We start from the raw sequence: 12,987 nt of genomic DNA on the forward strand, positions 1-12,987 counted from the left end.
ATGGTATCAGGATATCGGAATGTGAAGCTGGGTGTATCTGAAAAACTCCTCATGTGGCACATCGAAAGGTCACAGGTGCCAACCTAAAGGCGTCCCCAGACATCAAAGCTGGAACAATTTGAGCAACAAAATAATGATAGAACGGATAACCCACAGGGTACAGGAAATATTCATAAGTTCATAGTAACAAAAAATTAAATATATAGTAAATGGGGAGAAGGAGACACTCTTCCTTACAGTAGCATTCCAATTAATAAATGTTGAAAAATGATGGAGATAGCAAGCCACCATTTGGCAAACACCACAGTAATAATTGTTGCAGACACAAATCATTGATGGATACTGAATTGAGTAAAAATATATGAGAAACGTGATACGTGCATAGCCTTGCAGTATCTCCCCAGGAGCTAGCATTAATTACAAAGGGAAAAATAAAACTTTACAGAGAAGAAGTCTAGCAAACACCATCTTAAGTGATCAAGGCCAACACCACCAGGCCTAAGAGATATTGATGTCAGGTACTCCCTGAGAAAGACACAACATTATTCTTGCAAAAAATACGTAATCTGATCCTGAGAAAACCTCAGACCACCTAAAGTGAGAGACATTTACAAATCAGCAGGCCAGCCCTCTTTGAAAGTGTCAAGGTCAAGAAAGACAAAGGCTGAGGAATTGTTGTCGATGGGGGAGACTAAAGAGACATGACAACTACCTGGAATGTGGGATCCTGAACTGGATCCTGGCGAAATGTGAATATGTTCTGTCGATAAGTTAATCATATTGTGTCAGCGTTAATTTCTCGGGCTTGGTAACTGTACTCTGGCTATGTAAGATGGCAGCATTTAGGGGAGCTGAGTGAAGTGTACACTCCTGCCTCAAGATTCTTTGCTCTGTGGTTCCTTCTGCTGGGGGCACTCTTTTCCCAGATATTCATGCGGTTTGTTTATTCATTCTCTTCCTGTCTTTACTCAGATATGCTGAGGCATGAGATGCCATCAATTTTTCCACCAAGGGAGAATGTCATTAAACCAAGCTCTGTGCTCCCCATTCACTTTTCAGAAGCATCCCACAAACTTCCCATTGAGAAGGAGAAGGAAAATATCAAGCAGGGGAGGGGCCGGGCTAGTGCTTCATGGTTCTTGGCCAGATGAAAAGAAGGTCAGGGGATATAAGCCATGAGAGGGGCTTGCAAATATCCAAATGGGGGTGGTGGTAGGCAGACAAAACGCAGCTTCTATCCACCATACCTCTGGCCCAGGGCCCAGGGCCAGAGTCACGCCTGGTCAGGGATGGCCAATAGCACCCTTCACCCTCAGCTCACCACTGGGAACCAGATGTTTCCAGGCTCTCCCTGATCAGAGGACAGGGCACACAGACCAATTTGTACCCCAAATTGTCCTGTTTGGGATGCACATCTGCTGTAATGATGGGAGGAGGTCAGACCCTGCCAAAGAATTTTACAGAAAACTAATGAAAATCGGCTGGGCATGGTGGTCCATGCCTGTAATCCCAGTACTTTGGGACGCCCAGGCAGGTGGATGGCTTGGGCCCAGGAGTTCGAGACCATTCTGGGCAATATAGCAAGACCCTGTCTCTTAAAAAAAAAAAAAAATCCATTATCCTTTTCCACCCATTCTTTGATTCAAATCTCATGGCATTCAGTGATGGAGAAAAGCTGGGCCAAGCATATTATGTCCCTTTCTCAGATGTGGAACTTAAGACTTGGTTAAGTTTTTTCCTAAAATCACATAGGTAGGACGCAATCCCAAGTCAGCTTTTCTGGGGAGCAGCTAAGTCTCTGTACTGTTGCATTTTATCCAAGACCAGTCATTGTGGCCCATGAGGCAGTGTTTGGGGTTCACTGACACTATACTTGGGCTATGGAGATGTGTGTTTGAATCTAGCTCAGCCACTTAGGAGCTGTGTAATCTTGGGCACGGCCCTTAATGTTTTCGGGGTTCATGTTGCCATGATATGGATAACGTATGAGAAAGCGACTTATAAACTGCACAGTATCATGCTTGTTACCTATTAGCATTTGTATAAGGGCAGCAATAAGGGTCACTATTCCACAGCTTGCTATGATGATCAAATGACCACAGTGCAAATAATAGCTGCATATATGGAGTCTTGCTCTACACCAGGCACTGTGCTTTGTACACATGTGAATCATCTTTTTGAGTCCTCCTTATAACTCTATGAGATAGTGTTTGAGTTTTTCTATTGCTGTGTAGGAAACCTCCAAAGCCCTAGTGACTTCATAACAAGAATCACTCATTATCTCACAGCTCTGTGGGTTGCCAAGGCATTTCTTCTGCCTCCTGTGGTGCTGGGTGAGCTCTGCTGTGGCCTCAGTCATGTGGCTGGCAGGCAGTGCTGGCCACTGGTTGGGAGCTCAGTGAGGATCTTGGCCAGGGTCCTTGACTCTCCTCCCCGCAGGCTTTTCCACACACCTGCTTGGGCTTTCTCATGGCGTGGTGGTTGAATTTTCTAAGAAGGAATATTCCAAAGGATGAGCTCCTATGTGCAAATGTTCGCCAAACCTCCGTTTGCATCACTTTTGGCCAAAGCTTGTCCCAGAGCCAGCGTGGTTCACTGGAGCTACCGAAGAACAGCCTTCTGCAGATAGGGACTACTGCTCTCCCCATTTTACAGGTGAGGAAACTGAGGCTTAGAAGGGGTAAGTGACTTGACCAAGGTCACAGAGTTACTAACTGGCAGAGTTCAAGCTGAGATGGAAAGATTTGGCAGATTTGGCTCCAGGGTCCGTGCTCTCACCCCTTCAAGTATGGAGTGGTGAGCTGCAAAGGCAATGCTCTCTGCAAAGCTCCAAAGGTTGCTGCATCCCCTTTCCCAGCCCACCCACCCCAGTAACCCCCCTCCCCACCCTGCCTCCTTGGCCAACTGTGAAGTGCTGCCGCTGAAACGGTCTTTCTCTCCCACCACACAGTGAGCTTAAGTCCCCTCCCCTCTCCTCCTCTTCAGCTTCCTCCCTATTTCTCCTTGCTCCCTAGAGCCATGAGGTTGTCCTCCCTGGGGCTGCCTCAAGATGTTCTCAGAGGCCCCTGGGAGCAGAGGTTCAAGTTCAGCCAAGAACAGCTATGGGGCAACCAGGGCATTCTGAGACTGGACTTTATCCCATGTGGGGTCTCAGCCTTTTGGGTCCCAGGTCCTTTCAGTGGCCCAGAGGAATCATGAGGCCACTGACTCCATCTAGGGACCCCTCTGGGCTGCTGTGAGTCCTGGGGCATCCCCTGATTTTGCAGCCTAGGCCCTGTGGCTACAGGGGCAGTGGGGGTACTGCCCTCCAGCAGGACAGCCAGCACCAGACCTGGCTGCACCTCCACCAAACTCCGCGAAAGACCTTGGCCAAGTTGCTTCCCCTGTCTAGAGCTCAAGTGCTCACTGCGTCATGATGGCGGGTGGGCTGGAGAAGCCTCCTAAGAACCTCTTCTAGACGTTGGGAAGATGAAGGAGGGGTTTGGTTAAAGCTAGCAGGAGAATGTGCAAAACTGGGTGGCTCCAAAGTGAGGTCTTTTGCTCAGCAGGAGGGGACAGCAAGATATCAAGATGGGCAGATACACTCTGATCAGCATCTCAGCTGTACTTGCTGACTCACTCAGCCAGCATCATTGAGTCTCCTCTGTGCCCCGCTGTGGCTGGAGGCCGTGAGGGTGGGCAGTTCTGCAGCAAAGCCACTGAGCTGAGAGTGGTCGGAGGGGAGGAGGGCACGACCACTTCACATAGGACCTTGCAGGCAGCTGTGAAAAATGTCCACTGCATATTGTATGTCTATTGGAGAGTTGCCACGAGTAATGACATGACCTGCTTTATGTTTTAAATACAGATCACTCCCATGCTGCATGAAGGGTGGGCTATAGAGGTTAGAGTAGAACGGAGGGATCAGCTCATGAATTCAGGATAGTTCCCTGGGCGAAGGCCGCTACTCACCATATAACAGGGAGCACCAGCATCTCACATTCCCTACTTCTCTGCCAAACCTGCTCTGGAATCTCTCCCTTGGATTCCTTGTTCTGTGGCCTGGTGACTTCACCCTCCTCCCATTCATCCCGCCAGCTGTCGGTAGTGTGTCAAAAACCTGCTGTGTGCAGACCCAGGCAAAGGCAAGCACTGGGCTCTCAGGCCCCAAACCCTGCCCTTGTGGCCACAGCTGGTCTCCATTCCACCCACTGTTTGCAGATACCCAGAGGATAACATGCTCCTATCTCTGAAATTCCAGGCAGCCTTGGAGAATTTCAGGGGGAGGAAGTGTCCCACATTTGCAAACTTCCCATTATGGAGCAAGACCTTCAAGGAGGCCATAGGGTAAGAAATAAAGGTGCCTTCCTTCCCCTCCTTTTCCTTGGGCCACTGAAGATAGAAAGTGAGGAAACGTCCCCTTGCCTTGGAGCCCCTATCTCAGGGTTCAATGCTCAGCTGACACCATATAATGAGCTCATCCTGGGTGCTGCTTCTCCCCTCGTGTACTCCTGACCACTTACCACCATGACTCAACTTCCAGGGACCAACAGCAGCTCTGTCCTGCCTGGTCAGCAAAGCACAAGCCTGAGTTTCCATTTTCAACAGAGATATAAGTTCATTCCTGAGTGTGAGTGGCACCTTCAACGTCTCCTAAGGCCTTGTCATCTGCACAAGCTCTGGGCGAGACCAGTTTGGACTCAACCCCAGTGTCATCATGGGCCCTTGCTTGAGCTTGGGCAGATCTCAAGGCTGCATAACCTTTCTGAGCTTCAGTTTCCTCAGCTGGAAAATGGAGAAAACACTGAGCTCAGGGCCACTGTACAAAACATAAAATAATGTAAATAAAACACATGATTCATGGTAGGTGATCAAAAAATATCACTGCTTGCCCTTACCTTTTGGTAATTGATGTGGGTTCTGGACTTACCATCTTACATTTCAGATAGGTTTCCTACAATTAAATTTTGGAGTGGATGTATTGTAGAGGTTAGTTTGAATAATACACATGCAGTGGTCTCATTCTGACCATGAGGTGGAATAATTGGTCCTTACAGAGTGGCCTGAAGTTGTTTTTCCAAACCAGCTCTCTTTGTCATCTCATCCAGAGGTCCCTGTGGAGGGACAGCAAAGGAAGCTACCCAGATTCTCTGGTCCAACTGGATGGGAAGACACAGACTAGTGGCAGATGAAGGACTTACCTATGTTTGTACATTGAAGAGATGCAGATCTAGGGCTAGAAATCAGGTTTTCTTTCTTTTCTCTTCCTTCCTTCCTTCCTCCCTTCCTCCCTTCTCCTCTTCCTCTCTTTCTTTCTTTCTTTCTCTCTTTTCTTCCTTTCTGATTGAGTCCACTCTATAGCCCAGGCTGGAGTACAGTGGTGTGATCTTGGCTCACTGAAACCTCCGCCTCCTGGGTTCAAGCCATTCTCCTGCCTCAGCTTCCCAAGTAGCTGGGATTACAGCTGCCCGCCACCATGCCCAGCTAATTTTTGTATTTTCAGTAGAAGACGGGATTTCACCATATTGGCCAGACTGGTCTCGAACTCCTGACCTCAAGTCACCTCTTGCCTTCACCTCCCAAAGTGCTGGGATTACAGGTGTGAGCCACTGTGCCCAGCCCAGAACTCAGGTTTTCTGATTCTTGGACAGCTTGGTCTCCTGGGCAGCCTTTATCTGGACTTAGAAGAGCAGAACTGATAGAGGCAGGTGAAGTGGGGCTGAGCTCCCTAGCCCAGCCTGATTCTCTGTGCCAGACCACCCAGATGATCCCCACAAGAGGAAGCTTGGCCCTGAAGTTCTGGCGGGTGACTTATTTCCTGTCCCCTTTATACCTCTCCAAAGAGTTCCAATTCATTCATTCAACAAGCATGTATGAGTTTCTTCTATAATAAGCAAAATAGTATGCATTTGTATTAGTCTGTTCTCATGCTGCTAAGAAAGACATACCCACCACTGGGTAATTTTAAAGGAGAGAGGTTTAATTGACTCACAGTTCAGCATGGCTAGGGAGGCCTCAGGAAACTTACAGTCCTGGCGGAAGGGGAAGCAAACACGTCCTTCACAAGGCAGCAGCAAGGAGAAGTGCAGAGCGAAGTGGGGGGAAGGCTCTTTATAAAACCATCAGATCTTGTGAGAACTCATTCACTATCACGAGAACAGCATGGAGGTAACTGCCCCCATGATTAAATTACCCCCTACTGGTCCCTCTCATGACATGTGGGGATTATGGAAACTACAATTCGAGATGAGATTTGGGTGGAGACACAGCCAAACCATATCAGCACTGAGTACTTAGAATATGCCAGACTATGCATATATTTCTTATTTAATCAATAGTCTGAGTTAGATTATTGTTAGTATTATTTCCCCTATTTTACTGAAGAGGAATAAAGACTCAGAGGGAAGTGATTTGCTAAAGTACACTATGTTGGATGGTGCTGTGTTAATTTGGTTAAGCTGGGGGCTATACTCCCAGAATTCTTTTCCCTGTATGGCTCCACGTTATAGGAGCCATATAGAATTGGCCAAACAGCAACTGGTAAGAGATTTGGAAGACAGAAGTGAAGCAGAGGCCATTACTCTCTGAAAATTGTCGTGGTTGCATATGGTGTGAAACAGATGCAAACGTGTCTGGCAGGTCCCAGCTTGTCCTCGCTCTTTTCTGCTTCCCATCTAGCTTGTCACCCTGACTTCTGGCGTTCCTGACTAATAAAGGCTCTAGACCCTCAACCAGAAGATTGACTGTGGACCGGCAGAGAAGGTAACTAGATGAAGGCATCAGTTTTCCATAGACCTCTCCATGAACTTCCCCTTTGTTGTCCCACCCCAGTGGCTGGAGAAATGCAAGGGTGCAAGTCATGTTTTTGGTATATATTGTGACATGGGAGCACCTCCAGAAGAAAATTTGGTTTTATAAAGACTCAAATATAAAGAGATTTTGGCATCTTGGTAGCCAAAGCTCCAGGGCCAACACTTTATACAGGCATGGTATCCCCATACCATAGGAAAAAAAACCCTCTGTGGAAGTCCAGCCCTCTGGACACTCAGTGTGGAAGTCTCCGGAACAGTAGGAAAATGGATTCCCCCAGGCCAAGACTGGAAGATGGAAGTCAGGCACACAAAGTGCTGACGAGGCTGGTGTGGAATCCCAAGAGTCACAGCCTAAGGCATATTCTGCAGCCCCCAGGTCAAGCAGATGGGTACCAGGGGCTCCAGGTTCCTCTACAGCACCCTGGGAAGGGACAAGTCACAGCAGCCATTGTCTCCTTAGAGCTAGAAGACTTCCAGGAACCAAGGGAAGAATCAATGCATCATTCCCTCAACTCAGGACTCAAGACCCAATTTAATCACTTTGAGCTCAGCATGGTGCAGAGTTTGCCACAAAGAAGTGGTTCAGCTATGTATTAAGGAGGCAGAATTCAAGACTTGAGCAAGTCAGTTAATCCTGCTGAGCTTCAGCTTCTTGACCTGCAAAATGGGGAAACGACACCCACTTCCCAGGGTGAATTATTGAAAAGGGTCAATGTGGGCATGGCTTGGAAGCCCTCTATGAATGGAAGGGCTGAGCAAAGTTCCTTCATAAGTAGAGGGTGTCAGGAGATAGGATAAAGAACTGGATGGGGAATCAGGACCCTTGCTGTCCAGTCTAGGCACTGGCTCTTGCCATCAGCATGACCTTGAGGCTCTGATCATTGGAGGGAGGCAGAGGTCAGCACTAAAGGGTGTCTAATCTCTCGCTGCTCTCCCAGGCCAGGTTCCCACACCCTAAATCTCACAAACCCCTCTTCTATCAAGGTGGAAGTCGATGAGACATGAGAAGACATGCTTGAGACATGATGAGATGTGAACTTTCATGTTTCCAGGAGTGGAAGGAGGGCTCCATTGTTGGGTTGAAGGAAAGACGAGGCTGGGGGATTTTCCTTCTCATGTAGCAAATACTTGGAACCCAGGAGCCCTTTGGTGTAGGGGCAACTGTGGGACTCCTGTGCTCCTGCAGATCTTCCTCTTTGTTATGTTTTGAGGTTGGCTTTTCCATCCCCCTCTCTTTCTTCTTTCTTTTCCCCAACCACTCTATCATACACTACATCTTTCATATGTGTCTCTTAGTGTTCTCTTCTTCCTCCTCTTTGTCTTTTTCCTCCATCATCATTATTAGCAAAAATGAGAGCTGATGGTAAAACTGGTGCCCAGGGAGGGCAAGTGACTCATCCAAGGCCACATAACAGCAACTCTTATTGAGCTCCTACTGTGTACCAGGCACCCTGTCCCTTGGGACTGTCATGCCACTCCTGGCTGGGAGAGTATTTATTCCTATCCTGAACATTCATAGACAGAACCGTGGAGGCAGGGTGAAGGGAGACTTCCAAAGGCCACCCAGGACACTGAGAGCAAATGCTCACAGAGAACTTCTAATCAGCACCTTATAAACTAGAGAAGTTAGGGATTTAGTGATGGAAAAGATAGGGGCAAGGGGTAAGTTGGATCAGTGGGCATGAACTCACTCCACAGTAGAGCCTGAAAAGGAAAGAGGGAGGGAAAATAAAAGGCTACTTTCCATGATCAATAATAAAATTGTAGAAGCCATTCTGCCATATGATCAATGAAGCTCAAACTCTGAATGCCCCTGGAAAGCAGGTGTTGGCTCTTTCAGAAAGGAATGGTTCATTTCATTTGAGGTCCCTACGTCATTTAACAGTCACCCCTTGGTATCATTCCAGAGAAATGTATTGTCCTGGTTCAACTAAATTTCCTTCCTAGACACTGAAAAGTGGCACCTGGCAAAGAATATGCAAACAGCAGGAAGGTGGGGAGGGATGTCCCTGACTCCCTAGGCTCGTGAAATGACCATGGGTGGCATGCTGGTCCTCCCTGAACCTCAGTCATACACAACTCTCCATGGGGAACAGACTCCATGTCACCCTGCTTTTCAGAGGGTACGGGGATCATACTGAAAAGCACTTGGTCTCCCTCAGATGTGAATGTTCCATGGGGTTAGTCATTCCAACTGAGTGCTTATGCAAAAGTATGCAGTTGATCACAGAAGCAGCTAATGGAGATCGATAACATTCTTAGCTTGAAATGAGAAGGCTGCATAGAGTACAGGCCTCATCTGACCTGACAGCTGTTGTGCTGGGTGTAGTTAGTTCAGGACATGAGGCTTCTCTTTAGGTAAAGCTTTTATTAGCAGCGTTGGGAAGTTGATCAAGTAAAAGCATGTGATGCTGCTTGAACCATGAAGCTGTTCCTCATTAAATGTGTGGCTTTGGGTCAGAGTAGCGCCTGATCTACTGACCTGCCCCCAAAAACTTTGGCATAAGGTGAGGGGTAGGGAATTGGAAGGAGAGCTGAATTTGCATAAACCTGCTAGGTCTTATGGGAACTTTAATTAAGGAGTCTTTGAAGCATTCATTAAACTCTTAAATGTCTGGATTGAGAATACCATCTCCACCTCCAGTAAAAGTCAGCCCTTCAACTCCTGGGCAAGCGGTACTCCAGAGATGACAAAGAACTCACCACAACTCTGGGAGAGGGGATGGTAGTTGAAGAATTGTGCCTCAGCTTGGTCAAGATAACAACTCCTAACTAGCCAGAAGAAACTGGGTAACTTCTTTATTGTGCAGCAAGGGACCTGACCTTCAGTAGAAGAACATTAGAGCTATCCAGCCTCAGTTAAAAAACAGCTAAGACTGTTCATAATATTACAAAGGCTGTAGCTATAGATAGTGAAAGGTTATTTGCTTGGAGGGAAAACCTTCTACTTCTTGGAACAGAAAGAGCTGGATCTGGCCTCAACCCTATGGTCAATATCCCAATCCCAGGGACCTGGTAGAGTTGGACTCCCAAAGAAGATGGTGCCGAGGGGATGAGCCTTCTCATCTGTCCATGATTGGGCTGTGACTCCATGCCAGCAACAAAACAGACTCTTGGCCCAAAAGTAAGAGATCTCCATTTCATCAGTCAGCTCTTTCACTGGCTGCCAAATGCTATCTCTGACTATTCAGGGAATCCCACAAAAGGAGTCTCACTTACTGCTAAAGACACAAAGCTAGTGGCGAGGTGTTTGAAAAGGCAGCTTTCCTGGACCTTTCTCATGGACTCAAGCTGCCCCTCCACCTTCCACCATCTCCACTGCTCCCATTCTGCACTCTGCTCGCCAACACCCCTCCCCAGTAGCTGCACAGGAGACTCCAAGCTCCTGTCTGCTGTCCCCATGGGTGTTCTTCTCACACTAACCAGTGCTCCCTCCCTTCCTAGCTCCTTTCTCATTAGCGTAGCACTTGCTTTATCTCTGCTAGCAGGTTTTAAGGGTCTTATGAACAGGACTCCTAACTTGCACTTTTTTCTCCTGCAGAGCTCAGTACCATGCACTGCACATAGTAGGAGCTTAAAAATAGCTTGTTGAATGAAAGATCTGAACAAAGACTTGGAACAAAAGCATCACCTAGCAGGGGCTGGTCCCTTAGTAAGTTGTGTCTGCCTCTTCCAGACAACTCCTTGGCCTATTAACACTACCACCAATAATCAGTGAGTTGATTGTTTGCATTTGTGTAGTGTTCCCCACTGCCCAGCAAACCCTCTCACTTGGTCCTTACAATAATCCTTCTCATCTAAATGTTAACCAAACACAGGGGTGAAAGCTCCTGTCCCCGCAGCAAGTTGACCAGGTGGGATGGCTCTGTGTCCTCCTGGATGACCAAATGGTCAAGGCCCATGTGGGTGTTCAGGAACGCAGGCCCAGCAGCTGCACACAGTGGTAGGAACCGTGAGACCAGGACTGTGTGCAATGAAACAAACAAAGCTTCCTCAGCTTGAGGGCTTTTCTGGTTCCCCATAGGGAGACTGTTAAAAGCTCAACTTCAAACTTTAGGGGACCTCTCAGCCCACATCTGGAGGCCATTTCACATCCAGCTCACATCTCCGGGAAAAGCAGCCTGCATTTCATCCTGCTCCAAGTCCTCCCTTTACTGGTCTGGCCTGCATTCCCTGCTCCTCAGGGTCAGAATGAGAAGCAGGCACATTGACTTGAGTGAACTCATTTGCTCTCCCGGTGCCTCTGCACCTGCTCCCTCCTGGGCTATGAATCCAGCCGTTTCCACAGCAAACAGTCATAAACAGCCGGAAGGGGACCAGGGCTTCAGGTGCAGGAGGAGGAATAGGGAGTAGCTGCAAACACTTTGGCAAGGCCCACTTTCACACAGATGGTTTTAGCCATAAACCGGGGGGAACTGCAAAGCAAGGAGTCGGCCAGGTTACTAACGACAAAGCCTGCAAAGTGCATTAGGCCGAGGCTCAGACAGTGACTCAGAACTTCCTCAGAGTGCTGGGCTCCACCTCACACAAGCTGGGGTGGGAGAGGGGCTGGAGGCTTCAGGGACGTTGGGTGTGCAGATCAGGAAGTTCAGGCGGACAAGACCCTACTTGTGCAAAGACATGGACACCCCAAATTCCCAAGTCCATGCTCTGTTGTGGCATCAGTCCCCTTTCCTAAATTCTACTTAGCAGCATTCCTGAAATGTCTCTAGTTCACCTACTGTGTGCAGGCTTTGTGACTAAGACACAATGTCTGCACTCTTGTTTCCAACCGTGTGGGTGATGGGTGCATGCACAGCTGATGATAAACAGGTCAGATTGTGTCTTGCACTGGGGCAGGGGTACAACATGCAGGGGAAGCACAAAGTGGAGCGGAATGGAGTCATTGGTCTCAGGCCTATGGGACAGGTCCTTGAAGGAGGTGGAAGTGAGGTGACCCTTCATAGGTGGGTAGGATTTGGATAGGCATGGAAGGGATAGCACAGTGCAGTACAGGGAACAGCATCTGCAAGGAAGGGGATGGAATGTGCCAGGCAAGCCATGTCCTGGGAATGGCAAAGAGCCTAGTGTCCTGGAGCGTGGCATGGTTTTGGCCATAAGCAGGGAGGATGGTGCTGGAAATGTACGTAAACCCAGACCAGGGAGGGCCCAAAATGGCAGGAATAAGGAAATTATTGAGAGTATTTTACATGTGAATTAGTTACCAACTTTTATAAATAAAGAGATTTCATAGACAAAGTTGGGTTCTTGCATCTTGTGAAAGTCTAAAAGGTCTGGCAATTTGGGGTCTCCATTCTCTTGCAGCTATACTTAGCTATAGCTGGGCGGTGGCTGCTCCTAAGCAGGACAAGCATCCTCCAATCTGCCCCAGTCCTCCCCATTCCCTGTGGTGGCCCTTTTATCAACTCAACCTGGCCTGCAACCCTTTGGTCATCTACCTGCCCTTCATGGAGTTTGTGGTCTCTACTGTAGACCCTGAGGAGATGCCAGCGATGCCAATGGATGGTGGGAAATTCCTGCCTCATTGTGTTTAGGAAAATATTTTGAGCACAGTGAGAAGTCTGTAGCTTGGAGTCAGTAAGGCCAGTGAGGTGTTCTTGAAAGAGTCCTTGTGGAAAACGAGATATCCAGAAGGCCAAAGCAGGGGAAGCAAGGAAAGGGCAGATTGGGAAGAAATTCAGAAGTGTGACTGGCTTTGATCATGGATTAGGTGAGGAGAGTGAAGAAGAGGGAGAAGGAGCTGAAGTGAACTCCAGGATTTCAAGATTAGGATTCAGAGCAGAAGGTAGAGTCATTCAAGGAGGTAGATGTGCGAGGCAGTGCTAGGCTCTGGAAGGGGATGGTTGGCCCTGCTCTGGCGTGTGCAGTTTGAGGTTCTGGGCAGAGACTGGAGACTCAGATTTGTGATTCTCTGCAGAGATGACATTCATGGGGACAGGTGTGGTCAGAAGGGCCCTGCTAAGGGAGGAGGTGGAAGGGAGCCATGGTTCCTCACTGCTCCACTGGCAAGCTCAGCTCCCACCCTGAGACATTCATCACAGCTTGTGTTGTGAGGATTCCTTTCTGGAGTTGTTTCCTCCCCAAATCTGTATGTAGAAATCCTAACATGGTATTCACTAATGTGAGGGTATGTAGAGGTGGGAGGTGATTAGGTCATAAGGTTGGGGTGGAGCCTTCATGAATGGAATTAGTCCTC

The 12,987-nt window shown here is 48.2% G+C and overlaps 2 annotated features.

Moving 5' to 3' along the window:
* Positions 307–1,038: an enhancer, noted in NCBI's record as "OCT4-NANOG-H3K4me1 hESC enhancer chr2:30874941-30875672 (GRCh37/hg19 assembly coordinates)". NCBI's record gives its function as "activates a minimal SCP1, AML or CMV promoter by ChIP-STARR-seq in naive and primed H9 embryonic stem cells {active_cell/tissue: H9 hESC(naive and primed)}" and the evidence as "EXISTENCE:reporter gene assay evidence [ECO:0000049][PMID:30033119]".
* Positions 1,039–1,769: an enhancer, noted in NCBI's record as "H3K4me1 hESC enhancer chr2:30875673-30876403 (GRCh37/hg19 assembly coordinates)". NCBI's record gives its function as "activates a minimal SCP1, AML or CMV promoter by ChIP-STARR-seq in naive H9 embryonic stem cells {active_cell/tissue: H9 hESC(naive)}" and the evidence as "EXISTENCE:reporter gene assay evidence [ECO:0000049][PMID:30033119]".

Source organism: Homo sapiens, chromosome 2 (genome assembly GCF_000001405.40).
Source record: "Homo sapiens chromosome 2, GRCh38.p14 Primary Assembly".
Taxonomy (NCBI): domain Eukaryota; kingdom Metazoa; phylum Chordata; class Mammalia; order Primates; family Hominidae; genus Homo; species Homo sapiens.